Here is a 20,809-nt window from a genome sequence, read left to right as displayed (position 1 = left end):
ATAGCCCAGGCATTCTACTCCTTAGTATTTACCTAAGAAAAATGAAACACATCTTCATACAAAGACATTAATATTCATAGCAACTTTATGTGTAATAGCCAAAAAATGGAAACAACTCAGGGTCCATCAGCAGGTGAAAGGATAAATTATGATACATGCATACAATGGAATACCACTCAGTGTTAAAAAGGAATGAACTATTGATACATGCAACAACATGGATAGATTCAAAATCATTATGCTATATGAAAGAAGCTGGACAATAATGAGCACATACTATATGATTCAATTTATATAAAAGTCTAGAAAATGCAAACTAAGTGACAGAAAGTAGATCAGTGGCTGACTGGGGATGGGGATGGGGGCTACAAAAGGGCATGAAGATACTTTTGAGCATGATGGATGTGTTCATTATCTTGATCATGGTAATGGTTTTATGGTTGTAAATATATGTCAAAACTTATCAAATTGTACATTTTAAATGTGCAGCTTATTGTATGTAATTATACCTCAGAAAAGCTTTTTGGAGAAAACAAAAAAATATATATTCAGAGTCTATCTCTCTTTCACCCTTTTTATTATTTCCAGCTGGTTTCATCCACCATCATCTTTCACCTGGATTACTGTAAAAGCCTCCTAACTAGTCTTCCCGCTTTTTTTTTTTTTTTAAACCCTCATCTCCTTCCAATCTATTCTCGGCAAAACTACTAATGTTTATTTACAGTTCAGGGTTGAAGGCTGGGCGTGGTGGCTCGCGCCTGTAATCCGAGCACTTTGGGAGGCCAAGGCAGGCAGATCACGAGGCCAAGAGATCAAGACCATCCTGCCCAACATGGTGAAACCCCGTCTCTACTAAAAATACAAAAATTAGCTGGGCGTGGTGGTGCACACCTGTAGTCCCAGCTACTCGGGAGGCTGAGGCAGGAGATTTGCTTGAACCTGAGAGGCAGAGGTTGCAGTGAGCCGAGATTGCGCCACTGCATTCCAGCCTGGCGACAGAGTGAGACTCCATCTCAAAAAAAAAAAAAAAAAGTTGAGGGTTGAAAATTTACCTATTAGTTCTGTAATTGCTCTGGCTTGGATATCTTGTACTGTGTTGAATAAAAGTGAGGGAAAACAAGAAAAATTACCTATTGAATACAGTGTTCACTATTTGAATGATGGGCACACTAGAAGCCAAACCTCACTGTTATGCAATATAACCATATAGCAAACCTGCATATGTAACCCCAGAATCTATAAAAATAAAGTCAGATCATGTCACTCTAGCTCAAGACCCTCCACTGGCTTCCTCTCCTACTCAGAATAAAAGCCAAAGGCCCGCATGGCCTACCCCAGCCTTGTCATCTCTCTGATCTGACCCGCTATTCTCCTTGACCCCTTCACATCACTTCACACACATTGGTCTCCTGGCTACTTCTTGAAAATTCCAAACATACTCCCTCCATTGGGCCTTTGCATTGGTTATTTTCTCTGCCTAGACCACTCCCTCACCTCTTCTAAATGTCACTTTCTCCATTGGGCCTACTCTGACCACCCAATTTGTTTTTGTTTTTGTTTTTTAGAAATGGGGTCATGCTCTGTTGCCCAGGCTGGAGTGCAGTTGCAGTCATGGCTCACTGCAGCCCTGACCTCATGGGTTGAAGCAATCCTCAGCCTCCCAAGTAGCTGGGATTACAGGTGCATGCCACCACGCCTGGCTAATTTTTTAATTTTTTCATAGAGACAGGTTCTTGCTAGATCTTGAACTCCTAGCCTCAAGTGATCCTCCCATCTCAGCCTCCCAAAGTGCTGGGATTACAGGTATGAGCCACCACACCCAGCCAACCACCCTATTTTAAATATCAAGGTACCCAATCCCTCTTACCTGCTTTACTTTTTTGCCTTATTCCATAGTACTTTTGACATACTCTACAATTTACCTTTTTTGTGTTTTCTCATCTTCTTGCACTAGAATATGATCTACATGAGGGCTGGAATCTTTGTTGGTTTTCCTCATGTATGCCAAATGCATAGGACAATGCCTGGCATATAATCAGCTCTTGAAATATTTATGAAATTAATGAGTGCTTATAGCATATGAATCCTCAAGATACATTGGCAAATTAGAGTAGGACCAAAGTGGGGAGAAGAGTAAGAAGAGGTTTAAAATACACATGAGGGACCAGGCACAGTGGCTCACACCTGTAATCCCAGCACTTTGGGAGGCCAAGGTGGGAGGACCCCGTGTGAGTCCAGGAGTTCAAGACCAGCCTGGGCAACATGGCAAAACCCCATCTCTACAAAAAATACAAAACTTAGCCAGGCATGGTGGCACTTGCCTGTAGTCCCAGCTACTCAGGAGGCTGAGGTGGGAGGATTGCCTGAGCCAGGGAGGTCGAGGCTGTGGTGAGCCAGGATCTCACCACTGCACTCCAGCCTGGGCGACAGAATGAGACCCTGTCTCTAAAAATATATAAATAAATAATGGGGGATTCATTTATTTTTGAGACAGGGTCTTAACGCTGTCACCTAAGCTGCAGTACAATGGTGAGATCCTAGCTCACCACAGCCTCAACCTCCCAGGCTCCAACAATCTTCCTGCCTCAGCCTCCCAAAGTGCTGGGATTACAGGTGTGAGCCACCACACCTGGCTTGCAGTGAGCTATGATCAGCCCACTACACTCTAGCCTGGGCAACAGAGGAAGACCCTGTCTCAAAAAAAAAAAAAAAAAAAAAAAAAAAAAAAAGCGTGTCCTAATTAGAAGAGTCTGTAATTGTTATAGTCCATGACAACGTAGAATGCTGAATCAGTTGTGGAATTGATTTTTCAAATGCTTGTTTTACCTGGCAAATCATGTCAAAGGTAACCTGAGGCCAGGCAGAGTGGCTTACACCTGTAAATCCCAGCACTCTGGGAGGCCGAGGCGGAAGGATCGCTTGAGCTCAGGAGTTTGAGACCAACCTGGGCAACATAGCAATACTCCTTCTCTATTAAAAAAAATAAAATTAGCCAGGCTGGTGCACTTATATCCCAGCTACTCAGGAGGCTGAGGTGGGAGGATCACTTTGAGCCCAGGGGTTTGAGGCTGCAGTGAGGTATGATTGTGCCACTGCACGCCAACCTGGGCGACAGAGTGAAACCCTGTCTCAAAAAAAAAAAAGTAACAATGCCTTTATAATAATTACGATTTGTTATTTTAGCCACATAGCCATATATATGAAATTTACGTGACCTATTATTTCAGCCCTTTATTGCTGAAAATGAAATATTATTTTATTACTATCAGTTTAACCTTAATATCCCTCATTTCAGATTGCTTACCAGTATCATGGAATAAAATCTCCAATCTAAAATTCAATCTGAGTTTTATATTTAAGAATTTTAGCTTTATTATTTGTTTTAGATTAAGCTTCTGCACTTTTTTAAACGGTTATATATGTTCATTATCTTTCATCTTACATAGGAGCGGGATCGTTACGCCTACAAGATTCATCTTCCAGAAACAGTAGAGCAGCTGAGGAAATTCAATGCAAGGAGGAAACTAAAGGTAAATTAAACAAATCAGCAAAAAAGCCAAACAGATATAGTTAATGATCATGTTTTTATTCTATTTTGGTGCCCATAAATATGTACTAATGCTGGCCATTGTTTTTGTTGTAGCTAAATTCTCATTTCCAAAAATTACCACCACTTCAATAAGATTTTGGCTTTTTAAATTATTTAAGGTAGTATATCAGTATGAGTCTGAACAATAAATTATAATAGAAGATTAGTTGTATTTTAGATTTGTCTTAAATTTATAGCAGAGATATATTATTATCCATTATTATTGAATATGAATCTAGACCATGTTTTTTCAAACTTAAATATTTTGACAAATGTATGTTTAGTTCAATGGAAATAACTTTGAATTAGAATTGGAATTAGGGGCCGGGTGTGGTGGCTTATGCCTGTAATCCCAGCACTTTGGGAGGCCGAGGCGGGCGGATTGCCTGAGGTCAGGAGTTCAAGACCAGCCTGGCTAACATGGTGAAACCCCGTCTCTACTAAAAATACAAAAATTAGCTGGGCCTGGTGGCAGGCGCCTATAATCCCAGCTACTCGGGAGGCTGAGGCAGGAGAATTGCTTGAACTTGGGAGGTGGAGGTTGCAGTGAGCTGAGATCACACCATTGCACTCCAGCTTAGGCAACAAGAGCAAGACTTCATCTCAAAAAAAAAAAAAAAAAAAAAAAAGAATTGGAACTAGGATTGAACAACTATCAGAAAGCAGTAAATAAAATCTTACACTACCTTGATCTACTAGAAAATATTTTCAGCTCAGATCACTTTTCTCACCTTCTTTATTCTTCCTAGGTGTCTTTCTCCCTCTTACTACTCTCCCTATCCTCCACCTCACCAAAAAAAAAAAAAAAAAAGAAGAAGAAGAAAAGAAAACTGGTAATCACCCCATATGGGGAGTCCATTTGACTTTAAAAGGTTCTGAAAAAGACCAGACATAAAGTAATGGAATCTTTTCAGCACTGAGAGAAAATGCTGAGAGACCATCCCCCACCCAACCCTCCAGAGTAACAAAGGGAAATTGATTATCTTAACTTCTTAGAATTAATTTATGTTTGACTTACTTTTGATACTGAAAAATGTTAACTGTTCTCTAAGTGGTTGATTAGATAGTAGTCTTCCTTAGTCACATGACTCCTGCCAACTATAAAACTTTTCTTCTTAAGTATTTTCAGATATGCCATAAATTCTAATAATACCATTTTATTTTTCAACCCCTGAAATTAGTGAATTATTATGTATAACTCTAGACTTATAAAAACATTTATATGAATTTTGAGGAAACTATTAGGCTACAATATTATCCTATAGACCTGAAACTTTTAACATGGTACCCACTGGCCACATGCAGCTATTTAAATTTAAATTAATTAAAATTAAATAAAATTAAAAGGTCAGTTTCCCAGTCACACTAGCACATTTCAAGTGCTCAGTAACCACAGTTGGCTAGTGGCTACTATATTAGACAGCACAGATGTAGCTTGGGACATTTCCATCATTACAGAAGGATCTATTCAACCATGCTACTATAGAACAAGGGAAATATTAACATATCATTGTTGGTGTTGATTATTCCCATTTTAGCCTTTCTTCTCACTGATTTTGCAGTCAAGGGTTCAAAGTGACTCTTCTCTATTTGCTTTAAAAATCCTTGGCCAAAATAATTATTAATGATAAGCCATTATTGAGATGGTAGCCAAAGAAGTTTCCCAAAACTTTTATTCTTTTTGCCTTGATATCCACCTAAACCTGTGTAGCCTACAAATAAAAAACTCTTTTATTATTCAAAGTGAAATTTGGTCAACTGTTTTTGAAGTTAGTTTCCTCCCCAAAGAAACTATTATTACACTTTTTTGTCAACTTTTCTATAAGTCATTCTAAACCTAATTGCTTTGGCCTCATGTGACATTACGCTGTATGGGGTTGAACCTTTCATTGCCCAAATACAAACATTTCACCAGAGAGCTTGGGCTTGCCCCATCACAAGAAACACATGCTGTACTTCTCCCGGGGCCACAGAATCAGACTTGGGCCTAAAATAGCCAAAGTGGTGACTAAGATTCATTTGGACAGGGCCAAGCTGTCAAAACAGAGAGGGGTCATGTGGATTTACCACATCCCCTTGCAGGGCTATTTAAAGTTTTAAGACCCACCAAACAACCTAGAACTAGGAACATCAGCAGGGTCATTAGTGAATGTGTTTGGCTTCTGATAAGGCTGTATTCTTTTGAGTAGTTCAGCCACCTTGTTAAAACATGTTACACCTACCATCCTCAAGGAACTAATTCCCATTCTGCCTCTTCAGTGGACTTCTAGAACAGAGATTGCAACTTCCTTGGCTTTCAGAGTCCACCACACACTTTATTTTCACACAACTAGGTGCTCATCCTACCCAGACACTATTCTTAACCTCCTCAGTGGTGGGTGACAGTTTAATTTGTAATGACTCCCTTGGAAGTGATTAAAAGGGAGTTCACAGAAAGCGGTAGAAAATTACTTTTGTGGCCAGGCACAGTGTTTCACACCTGTAATCCTAGTACATTTGGAGGCCAAGGCGGGCAAATCGCTTGAGCTCAGGAGTTCAAGACCAGCCTGGGCAACATGGTGAAACCCCGTCTCTACAAAATATACAAAAATTAACCAAGTGTGGTGGCTGTGCATGCCTGTAATCCCAGCTATTGGGGGCCTGAGGCAAGAGGATCACTTGAGCCTGGGAGGCGGAGGTTGCAGTGAGCCAAGATCACGCCACTGCACTCCAGCCTGGGTGACAAAGTGAGACCTTGTCTCAAAAAAAAAAAGAGAAAAAAGAAAGAAAGAAAATTACTTTGGTAACTTAGTCATGATGGAATGATGGAAAATGTATTTTCCCCATTTTGGTTACCACATGTTTCATGTGTCGAGTTTTTTCCTCCTAATTCATACTAAGCTCTGGAATTGTAATACTTCATTAAAAAAAAATAAAAAAAAAGAATCCTCTAGATAACAATACTTTCTTTAATAAACTACATCGTTCTGAGCACAGAACTGAATATGAGGACATTTTCTCAAACTGAATATTAGGATACATGAGACAGACTGCATGATCTCCAGGCTGTGTGGAAAATCTGTGCTCTGTGGTCTGGGGCTTTTGAGGGGGCACACCTGTACTCTAACCCTGGCTGTCATCTACTGAAGGAGGTACTGAGGAAAGTGGTAACTGTTGTTATCTGAGGATGTCTATCCAGAGAAGAGACTCAGGAGGGAATGTATTCTGAAGTCATCCCTATTGCTTCTTCAATTATTTCTACCCCTAGAAAGCAAATTCCCCACAGTGAAGTGTGTTGAAGAAATTCTATACAAATAGAAGCAATATTCTATGTTTGGGTAAGTTTATTGCAGTCCATTTAAGAAATGGTGAGTCGAGTCCACGTGATTCAGTTAAGAGGATAAAATCATTTATTTCCTATATATACAGAAAGCAAGGATTTCTAATAACTTTCTACAGTTTTTCTTTATTATTATTATTATTTTTTTTTTTTTTTTTGAGAGAGTCTTACTCCATCACCCAGGCTTAGAGTGCAGTGGCGCAATCTCGGCTCACTGCAGCCTCCGCCTCCCAGGTTCAAGTGATTATCCTGCCTCAGCCTCCCAAGTAGCTGGGACTACAGGCACCACCACATCCAGCTAATTTTTGTATTTTTAGTAGAGACGGGATTTCACCATGTTGGCCAGGCTGGCTTTGTACTCCTGACCTCAAGTGATCCGCCCGCCTCGGCCTCCCAAAGTGCTGGGATTACAGGCATAAGCCACCGCGCCCAGCCTTTATTAATTTTGCAAATTGCAAAAGTATTCTCTGACTTACTGATTGGTCACTTGTGTTCCTGAACTGTGCATAACTACGAAAGGTTTGTTTAGGAGTGCCATTTTCTAATACTGTATAAAGCTGTACTATCCAGTACAGTAGTAAATAGCCATATGTAACTGTTTACATTTCAATTTTAATAAATTAATATTAAATAAAAAGTAAAATTTGGTTGCTCTGTTGCGCTAGCACCTTTCAAATGCTCAATACCACGTGTGACTGATGGCTACTGTATTAGACAGCACAGGTTTAGAAAATTTCCTTCATCACAGATAGTTCTATTGTATGGTATTGCTATAGAGTCTTGGTAACTGCAGAGTAATGCTTATACATAAGCAGCACTTTTTGATAGGTCAACCAGGAAGCTATAATAGATATTTTTTGGCAATTTTCTTTCTGTTAGTTCAACAAAAACTAACTTAAAGATTTATCAAAGACCTTTGTACCGTAATGAAACCCAGCATTTACATACAGTCCTCTCTGTAGTAAGGGTTTGTACAAAGGCAGTAAATTGAGATAGCAGTCGTTGTGGGCTTCAGCTAATCAGAGCATTAAATCTGGTATCCAAAAGGTAACCTTTGAGCCTGAGCAACATAAGGAGACCCCGGCTCTACAAAAATAAAAAATTTGCCGGGTGTGGTTGCACACGCCTGTGGTCCCAGCTACTTGGAAGGCTGAGGTGGGAGGATCACTTGAGCCTGGGAGGTCAAGGCTGCAGTGAGCTGTGATCACACCACTGCACTCCAGCCTGAGTGACAGAGTAAGACTCTGTCTCAAAAATAAGCGGGGTGGGGACCTTAATTCTAAAAACTGAAAACTTATTCTGGTATGAGCAGTTCCGCAAATATTCTGGTATGAACAGTTCCACAAATAATAAGTGAAGTGATTTTGATCTTACATATTGATTTTACAAATCAATTAATTTGTGATTTTTTTTAAGAAATACATATATAGGCCAGGCACGGTGGCTCACGCCTATAATCCCAGCACTTTGAGAGGCTGAGGCGGGCGGATCACCTGAGGTCAGGAGTTCGAGACCAGCCTGACCAACATGGAGAAACGCCATCTCTACTAAAAAAAATACAAAATTAGCTGGGCATGGTGGCACATGTTTGTAATCCCAGCTACTCGGGAGGCTGAGGCAGGAGAATTGCTTGAACCTGGGAGGCGGAGGTTGCAGTGAGCCAAGGTTGCACCATTGCACTCCAGCCTGGGCAACAAGAGCGAAATTCTATCTCAAAACAAAAAAAGAAAAGAAATACATATATAGATATATGTTGTTTTTTCTTTTTTAATTGAGACAGGGTCTCACTCTGTTGCCCAGGCTGGTCTCAAACTCCTGGACTGAAGCAATCCTCCCACCTTGGCCTCCCAAAGTGCTGGGATTACAAGTGTGAGCCACCATGTCCCACCAGTTTATGATTCTGAAATGTAGAATATATTACTTCCTGTTGGGCAATAGATTTTGAAAATTATGTACATTTAAGACCATCTCTATAAAATACTTTTACATAGACCCAAAAGAATTTCTAAGATATCTATTCTGTGCAATTACTCTTAAATATAACTATATCTAGTACACTTACAAGTCTCATTTTTCATTTTCTCTAGAGAAAATACTGCAGCCTCTTTTAGTCATATATCCTGACTGAAAATTATGAAATTAAAGGTTTTAGACCTATGTTTAGGTTATGTTTGAGTATTATATATGTATAGGCTATGCTGACTAAACTGAATGATAACTCTGGTTTTGGCTATATGGAGACATATCAAAAGTTCTGATTTAATTAATCATCTCACCTAATTATCATCTAGGACCTAATTATTAAGTATAATCAACCCAAATTCTTTAACATCTCTACCTTGAAATGATTTTCTTGACTTTTGGTCATCTCTGTTCAGCCTCAACCTCTCCAAATTCTCCACCCTTTTTAGGGCTTTTGAGTTCAGTCGTCTGAATTCTAATAGGATGATTATCTTTCAAATTTCTTTGTCACACTCCTATTGGTATGTTCTGGTGATACACTTTCTCCCCTCAGTATATTTCCCTGTTCACTCAGGAATATGACTATATATTACCTTGTTATTTAGGTACAAAGCCAATTATTCTATATCTGATACTTGTATATTTTGTATTTAGATGTTTTAAAATGTACCCTCCTGCCATGACTGTGTATTGCCTTGTTATTTAGGTACAAAACCAATTATTTTATATCCAATACTTGTGTATTTTGTATTTAAGGTTTAAAAATGTACCCTTCTGCCATTGTGCCTATCAAACTTCATGATGCGTGTTTCTGAGCTCAGGAAATACCAAAAAGGGAGTATTCGGTTTTTGGTTTTTGTCTTCAAGTCAGCAATACATCTTTGTTCAGCTCTTGTGTTCCTCAATAACTTTGTTCCCTCCTTAAGTGCATTCAGTAGTTAAACTTAGCAGAAATCTGACCTAACCATTTTCTTGTTTTCCACTTCCTTAAATGCCACACAGAATCATCTAGCCAGAAGCATACCATTTTGATGTTTGACATATTGACATTTCAAGAAAACTATAATTATGATTAAGAATTATTTCTAGTTCTTAACTACAAATTAAAAACTTGTGGTGCTCTTTTTCTCTGAATTTATAATCTGCCTTCTCCTTTCTAGGTTAATTTGCTTGATAGAAAATTACAACTTTAATATTATTTATCTTAACAGATTGTGAATAGTCTAATTAACTCAAAAGTATTATGTTTCGCCCTTAAAAGATACTAAATTATACCTTCTAAATTAAAGCAGGTAGAAAACTTCTTTGTCAAGGGTTTAATAAACCAGAAAGTTTGAAGAACTACTTGTATAAAATCTGATTTTTTAATTGTTGTATTACATTATTGCTATCGATGAGCAATATTACATTATTAGCAATCAGTAGCAATAATGTAATACAGGGGTTGGCAAACTATGACCTGGGGGTCAAATCCAACCCACTGCCTATTCTTGTATATAAAGTTTTATTAGAACATAGCAAAGTACATTAATTTGCATATTGTCCATGGCTGCTTTCACACTACAGTGGTAGAACTGAGTAGTTGCAAAAGAGATCATATGACCTTTAGAGCCTAAAATACTTACTGTCTGATTATTTACAGAAAAAAAATTGCTGACCCCTAGTATAGTAGAAATCCTTGAACTGGGGAGAGTAGTCATTGAATGTCAATTATGTCTACTCTTCATTATGTCTCTAAGTTGACAGAGACCTTAACAGGTTGCTAAGCCTCTCTGGACCTCAGTTTTCTCGTCTGCAAAATGAGTCCCTTAGAATGAATAATCTCTAAGGTTGATTCTCAAACTAATAAAATTATATGAATCCGTGACCTATTTCAGAATGATGTTGCTGTTTTACATAATGGCTTGCATTGAATATTTAAACCATCTATAGTCACTGGGTTCAGACAACTAAATATTAGGTGGGGCACCATGGCTTACACCTGTAATCCCAGCACTTTGGGAGGCTGAGGCCGTAAGAGTGCTTGAGCCCCAGAGTTTGAGACTAGCCTGAGCAATATAGTGAGACTCAGTTTCTATTATTTAAAAAAAAAACAAACTACGTAAACAAAACTGCTAGTCATAAGACAGATAAATTTAAAGCATACTACTATTGTTTCAAAAGCATTTGCATCTCAGGGCTCTTTTAGATACTGTTTTCCTAGTAGTATAGGTATTTATTACAGATCTTTGACAATAGTAGCAAGAACAGGCCTTGAAGCGTATAACTAACATCTTAAGAAATACAGTTGTACTTCATTTGGAAATAAAAATAAAGCATCTCTAAAAGCCTAGTTTCCGTGTGTGGGAAACGTGATTTGATATATAAAAATTCCATTCCCACCCAGCTTTTAGGAAACATGTATAATACGTAAAGTAAAATAAGTTTTTATAAAAAGAAGAACTCAACATTCACTACTGTTTTTTCAACATGGTAACTATAATTCTGCATAAGAACCTTTCATGCGTAACTTTAGACTTTCAGAAATCTCAAAAGTTACCTGGAATGTTAACATCAATATCACTTCTCTCTTTTTGCCCTTCCCTTTCTACAGTAAGTAAACTTTGTGGAAATATATTTTATTAATGTTTTCTGGCCAGGCGCAGTGGCTCACACCAGTAATCCCAGCACTTTGGGAGGCCGAGGTGGGTGGATCACTTGAGCGCAGGAGTTCAGGACCAGCCTGGGCAACATGGTGAAACCCCATCTCTACAAAAAAATACAAAAGTTAGCCAGGCATGGTGGCACACGCCTGTAGTCCCAGCTACTTGGGAGACTGAGATGGGAGGATCACTTGAGCCTGAGAGGTTGAGACTGCAAAGAGCCGAGATTGTGCCATTGCACTCCAGCCTGGGCAACAGAGCGAGACCCTGTCTCAAAAAAATAATAATAATGTTCTCATATTAGCAGATACCTAAACACAAACAAGTTTTATCTTTCCAGAAAAATTCAAGAGTTAATATTTAAAATTTAGACTTAGACTACTTAGGTGATTTGATAAACTAACTAAATGAGTGATTCTACATAGACCAGCAAAAGGCTGTGCTCATGTTCTAGATCTTTATTAGTAGAGTTAGTAATGATATGCACTTACAGAATGCTTTACAATTTGCAAAGCACTTTCATTAATACATTATGACTTTTGCCAATCCTGTAAGATAAGTCCATTTTAATATTCTTTTTTTTTCTTTTTTGAGACGGAGTTTCACTTTTGTTGCCCAGGCTGGAGTGCAATGGCACGATCTCGGCTCACCGCAACCTCTGCCTCCCGGGTTCAAGCAATTCTCCTGCCTCAGCCTCCCAAGTAGCTGAAATTACAGGCATGCGCCACCATGCCGGGCTAATTTTCTGTATTTTTAGTAGAGACGGGGTTTCTCCGTGTTGGTCAGGCTGATCTCAAACTCCCGACCTCAGGTGTTCCACCCGCCTCGGCCTCCCAAAGTGCTGGGATTGCAGGCGTGAGCCACCGCGTCCAGCCCGTTTTCATATTCTTACTTTACAGATAAGAAAGCCTAGAGAGGTTAAATGATTTACTCCCAAATACCACATGTTCTCCCTTATAAGTGGGAACTAAGCTATGGGTACACAGAGGCATGCAGAGTAGTATAATGGACACTAGAGACTCAGAATAGGGGAGGGTGGAGGGGCAAGGGATAGAAAATCACCTGTTGGGTACACTGTACACTACTCAGAAGACAGATTCACTAAAAGCCCACACTTCACTACTGTACCATTTATCCATGTAACCAAAAACCACTTGTACCCCTAAAGCTGTTTAAATAAAAAATAAAATAAATATGATTTACTGAAGCAGTAACTCCCAACATTTTTCCACTCTACAGTCCTAAGGGATGTCATGCACTCAAATGGCAGTGATTTCCAACTAGGAATAAGGGGAGGCTATGCATATAGCTTAAAAGAGTCATATGTAGTTGATTCTGTTGTGTGGCCTGATGGAGAATTACTATACAAAAGTAAGACATTGTCATTGTTAAAACAAAAAGAGGGAAAAAAGATTTTAAAAAGAAAAATGACACATAATCCTACCACCCAGAGATAATTAATAACATTCTGGTGTATATGCAGTCTTTTATATCCATATTAACTTTTTTACCCAAAAATGAGATTATAATATACATTGATTTTAAACCTTTTTCATGTAATTAATCACAGACATCTTTTCATTCCACTAAACACCCTTCTACAACATCATTTTATAATAACTGCAGAATATTCCATCCTGTGTTACATGTTTGAATTCAAGATGTAAGTGGTTTCATATACTTCTACAATTCCCGATTAGTGTTATTCTGGTATATGCATATGTAATTTATTTCAAGGAATCTGAAATAATTTAAAAACTACCTCTCTTCTAGCCATCATCTCCTATATATTTGACTTAATGGATAATCCTTAAGATAAATAATTTGTTAAATAACTTATTTATATTTGTGTATTTGTTTTAATAATCTATTTTTTCATCTCTTTGTTTTAGGGTGCAGTACTAGCCGCTGTGTCAAGTCACAAATTCAACTCATTCTATGGGGATCCCCCTGAAGAGTTACCAGATTTCTCCGAAGACCCTACCTCCTCAGGTAATTGGATAATTCACTTATTCACCTGTGTGGGTCATTTGGCATTTACATCCATTCTCTCCCATTGTGAATAAACTTTTCCTGTGCATTTAGTTAAATCCTCCAACGGATTCTAAGGAAGTTTGTCAGCAACCAAATCCTGTCTACATGTGTCTTGTTCCTTTTCATTTTAATACCAAAGTTGCTTTCTCCTGTGGCTCCAAAACCAACACTTCATTTTTTTTTCTTTTCACCTCAGTAATACTTCTTCCCCTTTCCACACTCTAGACCCAGCATTGCACTCCATCCAATCCAACATCCTAGTCAGTCTTTTGGGATCTTTCTGATTACCTTCTCTCTCAACAAAAACTTCTAATATAAGCTTTTCCCCAGGTCAGTCGTATTAGATCAGACTGTGGGCAGCACTGCTTTGAATGGAATCTTTCAGTGTAGAGCTGTCTTGTGAGTTATCTCCTGAAACAGTTACCAAGTTCTTCTTTCTGTATAAAAATCTATAACACGGCCAGGCATGGTGGCTCATGCCTGTAATCCCAGCACTTTGGGAGGCCAAGGCAGGCAGATCACCTCAGGTCAGGAGTTCGAGACCAGCCTGGCCAACATGGCAAAACCCCATCTCTGCAAAAACACAAAAATACAAAAAAAAAAAAAAAAAAAAAAAAAAGCCAGGCGTGCTGGCCTGCGCCTGTAGTCCCAGCTACTTGGGAGGCTGAGGCAGGAGAATCACTTGACCCGGGAGGCGGAGGTTGCAGTGATCCGAGATCATGCCACTGCACTCCAGCCTGGGCGATAATGCGAGACTCCATCTCAAAAAAAGAAAAAAAAAATCTGTAACACATGCATACAAGTATCCAAAGGGGAAGAACACAGAAGAGTTATTTGTTTTGATGAACTGTATATAAGTACCCCTGAAACAACCTGCCAGTGTTCACAAAATCATTTTATAAGCCAGTGCAGTGGTGTGCATGTGTAGTCATAGCTACTCAGGAGGCTGAGGCACCCGGCTCAGGGGGATCACCTGAGCTCAGGAGTTTGAGGATGCAGTGAGCTGTGATCACACCACTGCTCTCCAACCTGGACAACAAAATGAGACCTCGCCTCTTAAAAATTAAGAGATAAAAGGCCAGGCACAGTGGCTCACGCCTGTAATCCCAGCACTTTGGGAGGCCGAGGCGGGCAGATGATGAGGTCAGGAGATCAAGACCATCCTGGCTAACACGGTGAAAACCTGTCTCTACTAGAAATACACAAAAATTAGCCGGGCGTGGTGGTGGGCACCTGTAGTCCCAGCTACTCGGGTGGCTGAGGCAGGAGACTGGCGTGAACCCGGCAGGCAGAGCTTGCAGTGAGCCGAGATCACGCCACTGCACTCCAGCCTGGGCGACAGAGTGAGACTCCGTCTCAAAAAAAAAAAAAAAAAAAAATTAAGAGATAAAAAAATAAAAAACCAAAACCATTTTATAAAATGCTCAGATTTCCATCTTACCAGTGTAATATTCTCAAGAATCATTTACTAAAAACCCATAGGGTCCATTTATATGTATATGTAAATGCGTGTGTGTGTGTGTTCTAAATTTTTATTTATGCATTTTTTATTTACTTAACTCCTGAATCATGTGTCCTCTGGCCTCAGCTTTTTTTCTTTCTTTCATTAGAGCCACTCCATATTTGTCATCTTTGATTTTTGTACTCTTGGACTAGCTTCATCAATATTCATATATTACCACTGGGACTGAGGCCCTGGGCCCTTCCTAAAGCCTGAGGTTTCTGTCCCACAGTTAGTAATATAGGAAGAATTAATGTGCTAATGCTTCTTTCCTGTTGGTACCATGAGCATCTGTCAGTATTTATGCTTCTCCTCTCCTCTGTTTATACATGTGTGTGCACCTACACATTCACATACACACACACACAATTTCTTACCAATTAGTATGTGCTTGTACCTTGTGCAAAATGACAAGATCTTGAGGTGATGGATACCCCATTTACCATGATGTGATCATTATGCCCATATCAAAATGTCTCCTGTACCCCATAAATGTATACTATGTACCCACAAAAATTTAGAACTTTTTTAAAATGACAAGATCAACTTTCCCATTCCAGCAGTTATACAGTTCCTCATTTTGACCTTTACCAATTAGGATGTGAATCTTCCTCTTTTGAGTGAAGGTGATTTCCAAAAACATTCAGAAATGGGAATCTTAGAGAAGAGACTGAGGAGAAAGCCTTGCCATTTTTCTCTTGTGCTGACTTGGTCATTATCCAGAGCCCTTCCCACATGAAAGGCAGGGATCTAGTTGTGTTTATAGGTGTGGTCCCCAGTGCTTCTTATTGTTTCACGTCTGTCTTTTCTTCCACTCCATTTTGTTCCCTCCACCTGTAACTTCTTTTGTTAGCTGAAACCTCTGTCTTCTCTCCTCACACTCAGATTACAGTGGACCCTATTTAAGGGGAGTGGATCCAGTAATGGTTTGTATTGTCATACTGTGGCTGTATGATATAATCACATGCTTATAATATATTTAGGATAAATCTCTTTGAGATTTTAGGTCAAGATCTCTACTACCATTTTCATCTTTAGAAATGGAGCTAAAGGCTGGGCATGGTGGCTCATGCCTGTAATCCCAACAGTTTCAGAAGCCAAGGCAGGAGGATTGCTTGAGCCTAAGAGTTTGTGACCAGCCTGGGCAACATAGGGAGACCCTCTACTTTGTAAGAAGTCAAAATATTAGCCAAGCGTGGTAGCACACACCTGTGGTCCCAGCTACTAGGGAGGCTGAGGCAGGAGGATCACTTGAGCCCAAGAGGTCAAGGCTGCAGTAAGCCGTGAGTGCATCACTGTACTCAAAACTGGATGACAGAACAAAACTCTGTCTCAAAAAAAAGAAAAGGGGCCAGGCACAGTGGCTCATGCCTGTAATCCCAGCACTTTGGGAGGCCGAGGTGGGTGGATCACTTGAGGTCAGGAGTTTGAGACCAGCCTGGCCAACATGGTGAAACCCCCATCTCTACTAAAAATACAAAAATTAGCCAGGCATGATGGCCACGCGCCTGTAATCCACCTGAGGCAAGAGAATTGCTTGAACCCAGGACACGGAGGTTGCAATGAGCCGAGATCGTGCCACTGCACTCCAGCCTGGGTGACAGAGCAAGACTCCATCTCAAAAACAAAAGGAAAGGAAAATAAAAAGAGTAATACTCTATGCATTTAGGAAAATATGAATATTTAAAATAACAGTTTAAAAACTTGTCATCTAATAAGAAGTCAAACATGTTTAGGTATATTGTTTACGATGTAAAACAATTTTTCTATAAATGATAATTTTCTATTTTGATTATTGAAATTCATACATTATGCATTTACTAGAATTCATTTAATCTTATGATGAACTGTGTATTGCTTGAAGTGGGGCTGGGCACGGTGGATCACTCCTGTAATCCCAGTACTTTGGGAGGTGGAAGTGGGTGGATCACTTGAGGTCAGGAGTTCGAGACCAGCCTGGCCAAAATGGCGAAACCCCGTCTCTACTAAAAATACAAAAATTAGCTGGGCGTGATGGCATGTGCCTGTAGTCCTAGCTACCAGGAGGGTAGGGAGCCAGGGCTGAGGTAGGAGGATCACTTGAGCCCAGGAGGCAGAGTTTGCAATGAGCTGAGATTGCACCACTGTACTCCAGCCTGGGTGGTAGAGTGAGACCCCATCTCAAAAAAAAAAAAAAAAAATCAATGTTGAAATATTCTTTTCTCATATTTCAAATCAAGTAATTCAGAATCAGAACCCAACGTTTGATGTCTGAAATCCCAAACAGTTCCAGTGATTGTACTCATGGAACATGAGGGCTCACTTTGGGGTCAGCTGGGGGACCATGCTTCTGGTGGCTCATGTAGTGGGCCGAACTGTGGCTTGATAACCTGCTTGTTCTAAAATCATACTGTTTGTTGTTTGTCCATATGCTGCCTTCCTCCTAGGACTTCTAGCAGCAGAAAGTAGGTATCCCTTTGTTTTCCTTTAAGGTGTATCTTTTATGCAAAAGTGTTTGGCTTTGCATGGTTCGTAATCAGCTTGACTTTTTCCTTGGCTGTTTGTGTGTAGTTGTTTAAGTATTAATTTTAACACTGCCTGGTCATAAAATTAAAACTTGGATATATTGATTTTTGAGGCATTGTTGCACAAACAATATTAAGTTCTCACTTCTTTCATAAGAGGAAAAAAGACAGTGTTAAAATTTCAACGGCATTTAATACTTCACATCTGAATTTCACATACGAATACATTAATTCTGGGGAAAGAGTAACATTTATTTTAGAGTTTGCTTTCAAGAAAACTTTCAGGGTAAGTGAATTTTTCTTTGACAATTACATCACCTGTAAGTGGTCTTTATTGCTTCCTGTTACTGAGTCCATTTTCAGTTTATTTGGACCTGTGAAATAAATTCTGAAATCATATCTCTTAACAACTTTTACCATCAGATAGAACATTTATAAGGAATAATGTAATAGCTAGATTTTAATTACAAAGGGGCATAATTTGAGTTTGGGAGAAAATTAAAATGTAAGAAATGTACACACAGTTGAGTACATGTAAAACTGAGGCAATCTGAATAAGATGGGTGGATTGTATCAATGTCAGTATTCTGGTTATGATAATATACTATCGTTTTGTAAAATGTTACCAATGGGGGAACTGAGCAAAGAATACAAGGGATCTCTCTGTATTATTTCTTACAAGTGCATGTGAATCTACAATTATCTCAATAAAAATTCTAATTAAAAAAATAAACCTTTACCTCAAAGATAAATGAGAAAGCCTGGGTACTAATGATTGAATTCATTTTCACATTTTCTTACATTAGTTATCTGTAGCTCAAATTGCAGCTGATTTAATATAAATCTTATAGTATATTAGTTACCTATTGTTGGGTAATGAATTACCTTAAAACAGCAGTTGTCATCTCACAGTTCCTGTGGGTCAGGAATCTGGGCGTGGCTTAGCTGTGTGCCTCTGGCTCAAGATCTCTCATGAGATTGTGGTCCAGTGCTGCTATCTCACCGGAAGGCACAACTGCAGGAGGAATCCTCTTCCAAGCTCACTCACATGGTTGTTGCCAGGCTTCGGTTCCTTACTGGCTGTGGTCCTCTTCACAGGGCTGGCTGTTCACAGCATGGCAGCTCACTTCCCAGCACGAAAGATAAAAGAGGGGGGCAAAAGTGAGAGACAGTGCCCAAGACTGAAGACACAGTCTTTACAGCCTAATCTCATAGTGACGTCTTATCACTTCTGCACTATTCTGTTCATTAGAAATGAGTCAGTAAGTCCAGCCTGCACTCCAGGGGAGGGGACTGATTACACAAGGCTGGAAATACCAGGAGACCAGGTTACTGGGGCCCATCTTAGAGGCTGCCCACCACGTACAAATTAATAACTATTAAAATGTAAGATTCTTCCCGTCTAGATTTAGCGCTCCTCTTTTTTTTTTTTTTAAATCAGCCAACCTGTCATGTTATTTGAGAATGGGCATCTTGGATGTATCAGTAGTGATTTTCCTTAGTTGTAAAGCTTTACACGAGTGGGTACTTAATAGCAGAATGTTATTAAAGTACTTTGAAAAATCTGTGCTCGAAGATGTTTCTATATGGAAGCATAAACTATTTTAATAATCATAATGGCATTAGAGATTATAACATCTATACGCTGACAGAATACATATGCAGAGTTTACTTCCTTTAATAAATTTCAAGGTATCTGTACCATAATCCACATATGGAGAATCTAAAGCATGTATCACCATATGTAAGTTCTCATAACTTGAGTTGGATATGGCACAGATGCTTATGTCCAAAATACAGTTTCCATTACAGGATTCATTATTGCTTATAACTTGATTGATAACAAAGAATTTGCTTTGTGCAGTGGGAATAAAAAGTGTTGAACAGGGTGTGGTGATAGAGGGAAGAGATTGGCTGCAAAGGGACAAGAGAGAACTTTTTTGAAGTGATGACAGTGTACACTTAAATGGCGACTTTTAACTTAAAACAGTATACCTTAGTAAGCAGATTTTTTTTAAAAAGTATTGTGCTTGCAAGGAGGGGCTTTGATTGAGTAGGTGATAATGTGTGTGTGTAGTAATACAATGTATTAATTGATCGCTAATATAATAGAAAAGGTATTGATTACTCTTAGAAGAAGCTAGGCTAGGTTCAGATTCTAGATTTGCTCAGTGATGCTGAGTTTCATAGCTATACATTGTAAATTAAGAAATACACACACATTGAGAATTTAATGTGTTATTTTGTGAAAATCTGAGAAGCAGGAATGGGATTTAATGATCTCAACTGTCATCCATCTGAAAAACCTAACTTGTGATTTTAAATAAGATGGCATACTGCCTTCCACTATTCCCTTTTAAAAACAGGAAATGTCCCTGCTTTTATCTTTATGAAGTTTTATTTATGAATAAAGTTTGTACTATTTAAAAAAAAAAGAAATACACAAATCTTTATTGAAACAATTACAGTGAAAACTTGGGTATATCAAAACTCATTGAATGGTACACTTAAGATTTGTGTATTTCATTCTATGTAAATTTTACCTCAGAGAGAAAAATAAGCATTGCAATCTTTGCTGAAGTCTTTAAGGGTGAAGTGTACTAATGCTGGCCACTGCCATTTAATTTGAAATGAATGAAAAATACGTGAACTGATGGATAGATGGGTAGACATGTGATAAAGCAAATACAGCAAACTGTCAACATATGTAGGATCTAGGTGGTGGGCACGATTCTTTCAAACTTTCTGTATGTTTGAAGCTTTTCGTAGTAAAATGTAAGGGGAAAAACTTTTAAGACATACTCAGCCTACTTTAACACTGAGAACTTTTTAGTCTAAACATTTGACTGTTTATTTTTCTGTCCTCCTTTTGGTTTATTTTTACTTGGTCAACCTTTTTATGAGACTTCCACTCTCGTAATGAGATTATTCTAGACTCAAAGCTTTTATTGACCTTAAAAGCATATTTCTCTTTAAAGAAATAGAAACATTTTTTAAACAGTTGACATATTTATGCTTTTTTTGACTATTATTTCATAATAGTAGCAGAAAACTTTTGAAAAACTTGTTTGTACTGGTGAGATTATTTGAAAAAGTAGAAGTATTCAAAGTTAAAATGTGCAGGCCAGTCATGGTGGCTCATGCCTTGCCAGCACTTTGAGAGGCTGGGGTGGGAGGATTGCTTGAGGCCAGGAGATTGAGATCAGCCTGCACAACATAGTGAGATCCCATCTCTATTTAAAAAAAAAAAAAGTATGA

At 38.8% G+C, this 20,809-nt stretch overlaps 1 protein-coding gene and 1 long non-coding RNA gene across 14 annotated transcripts in view; one reads left to right on the top strand and one right to left on the bottom strand.

Annotated features, from left to right (window-relative positions):
• Window positions 1-18,770, bottom strand: part of LOC124905180 (uncharacterized) — a 39,334-nt gene extending 20,564 nt beyond the window's left edge. For both annotated transcript variants that reach the window (XR_007068219.1, XR_007068220.1), the window contains exon 1: window positions 18,437-18,770. This is a non-coding gene — a long non-coding RNA (uncharacterized LOC124905180). The remainder of the gene's footprint in view (window positions 1-18,436) is intronic.
• CASK (calcium/calmodulin dependent serine protein kinase) overlaps window positions 1-20,809 on the top strand; it is a 408,621-nt gene that overhangs the window by 283,447 nt on the left and 104,365 nt on the right. For 9 of the 12 annotated variants that reach the window (NM_001126055.3, NM_001410745.1, XM_006724566.4 and 6 more), the window contains 2 exons: window positions 3,447-3,530; window positions 13,405-13,504. In NM_001126055.3, the coding sequence (NP_001119527.1) occupies window positions 3,447-3,530; window positions 13,405-13,504 (184 nt within the window). Of the gene's footprint in view, window positions 1-3,446; window positions 3,531-13,404; window positions 13,505-17,473; window positions 17,492-20,809 lie in introns of all 12 variants that reach the window. The other 3 variants (NM_001126054.3, NM_003688.4, NM_001367721.1) reach the window with 1 other exon arrangement.

The sequence above is a fragment of the Homo sapiens genome, chromosome X, assembly GCF_000001405.40.
Source record: "Homo sapiens chromosome X, GRCh38.p14 Primary Assembly".
NCBI lineage: Eukaryota > Metazoa > Chordata > Mammalia > Primates > Hominidae > Homo > Homo sapiens.
The sequence above is the reverse complement of the archived record's forward strand: the minus strand, read 5'-3'. Positions and strand labels throughout refer to the sequence as shown.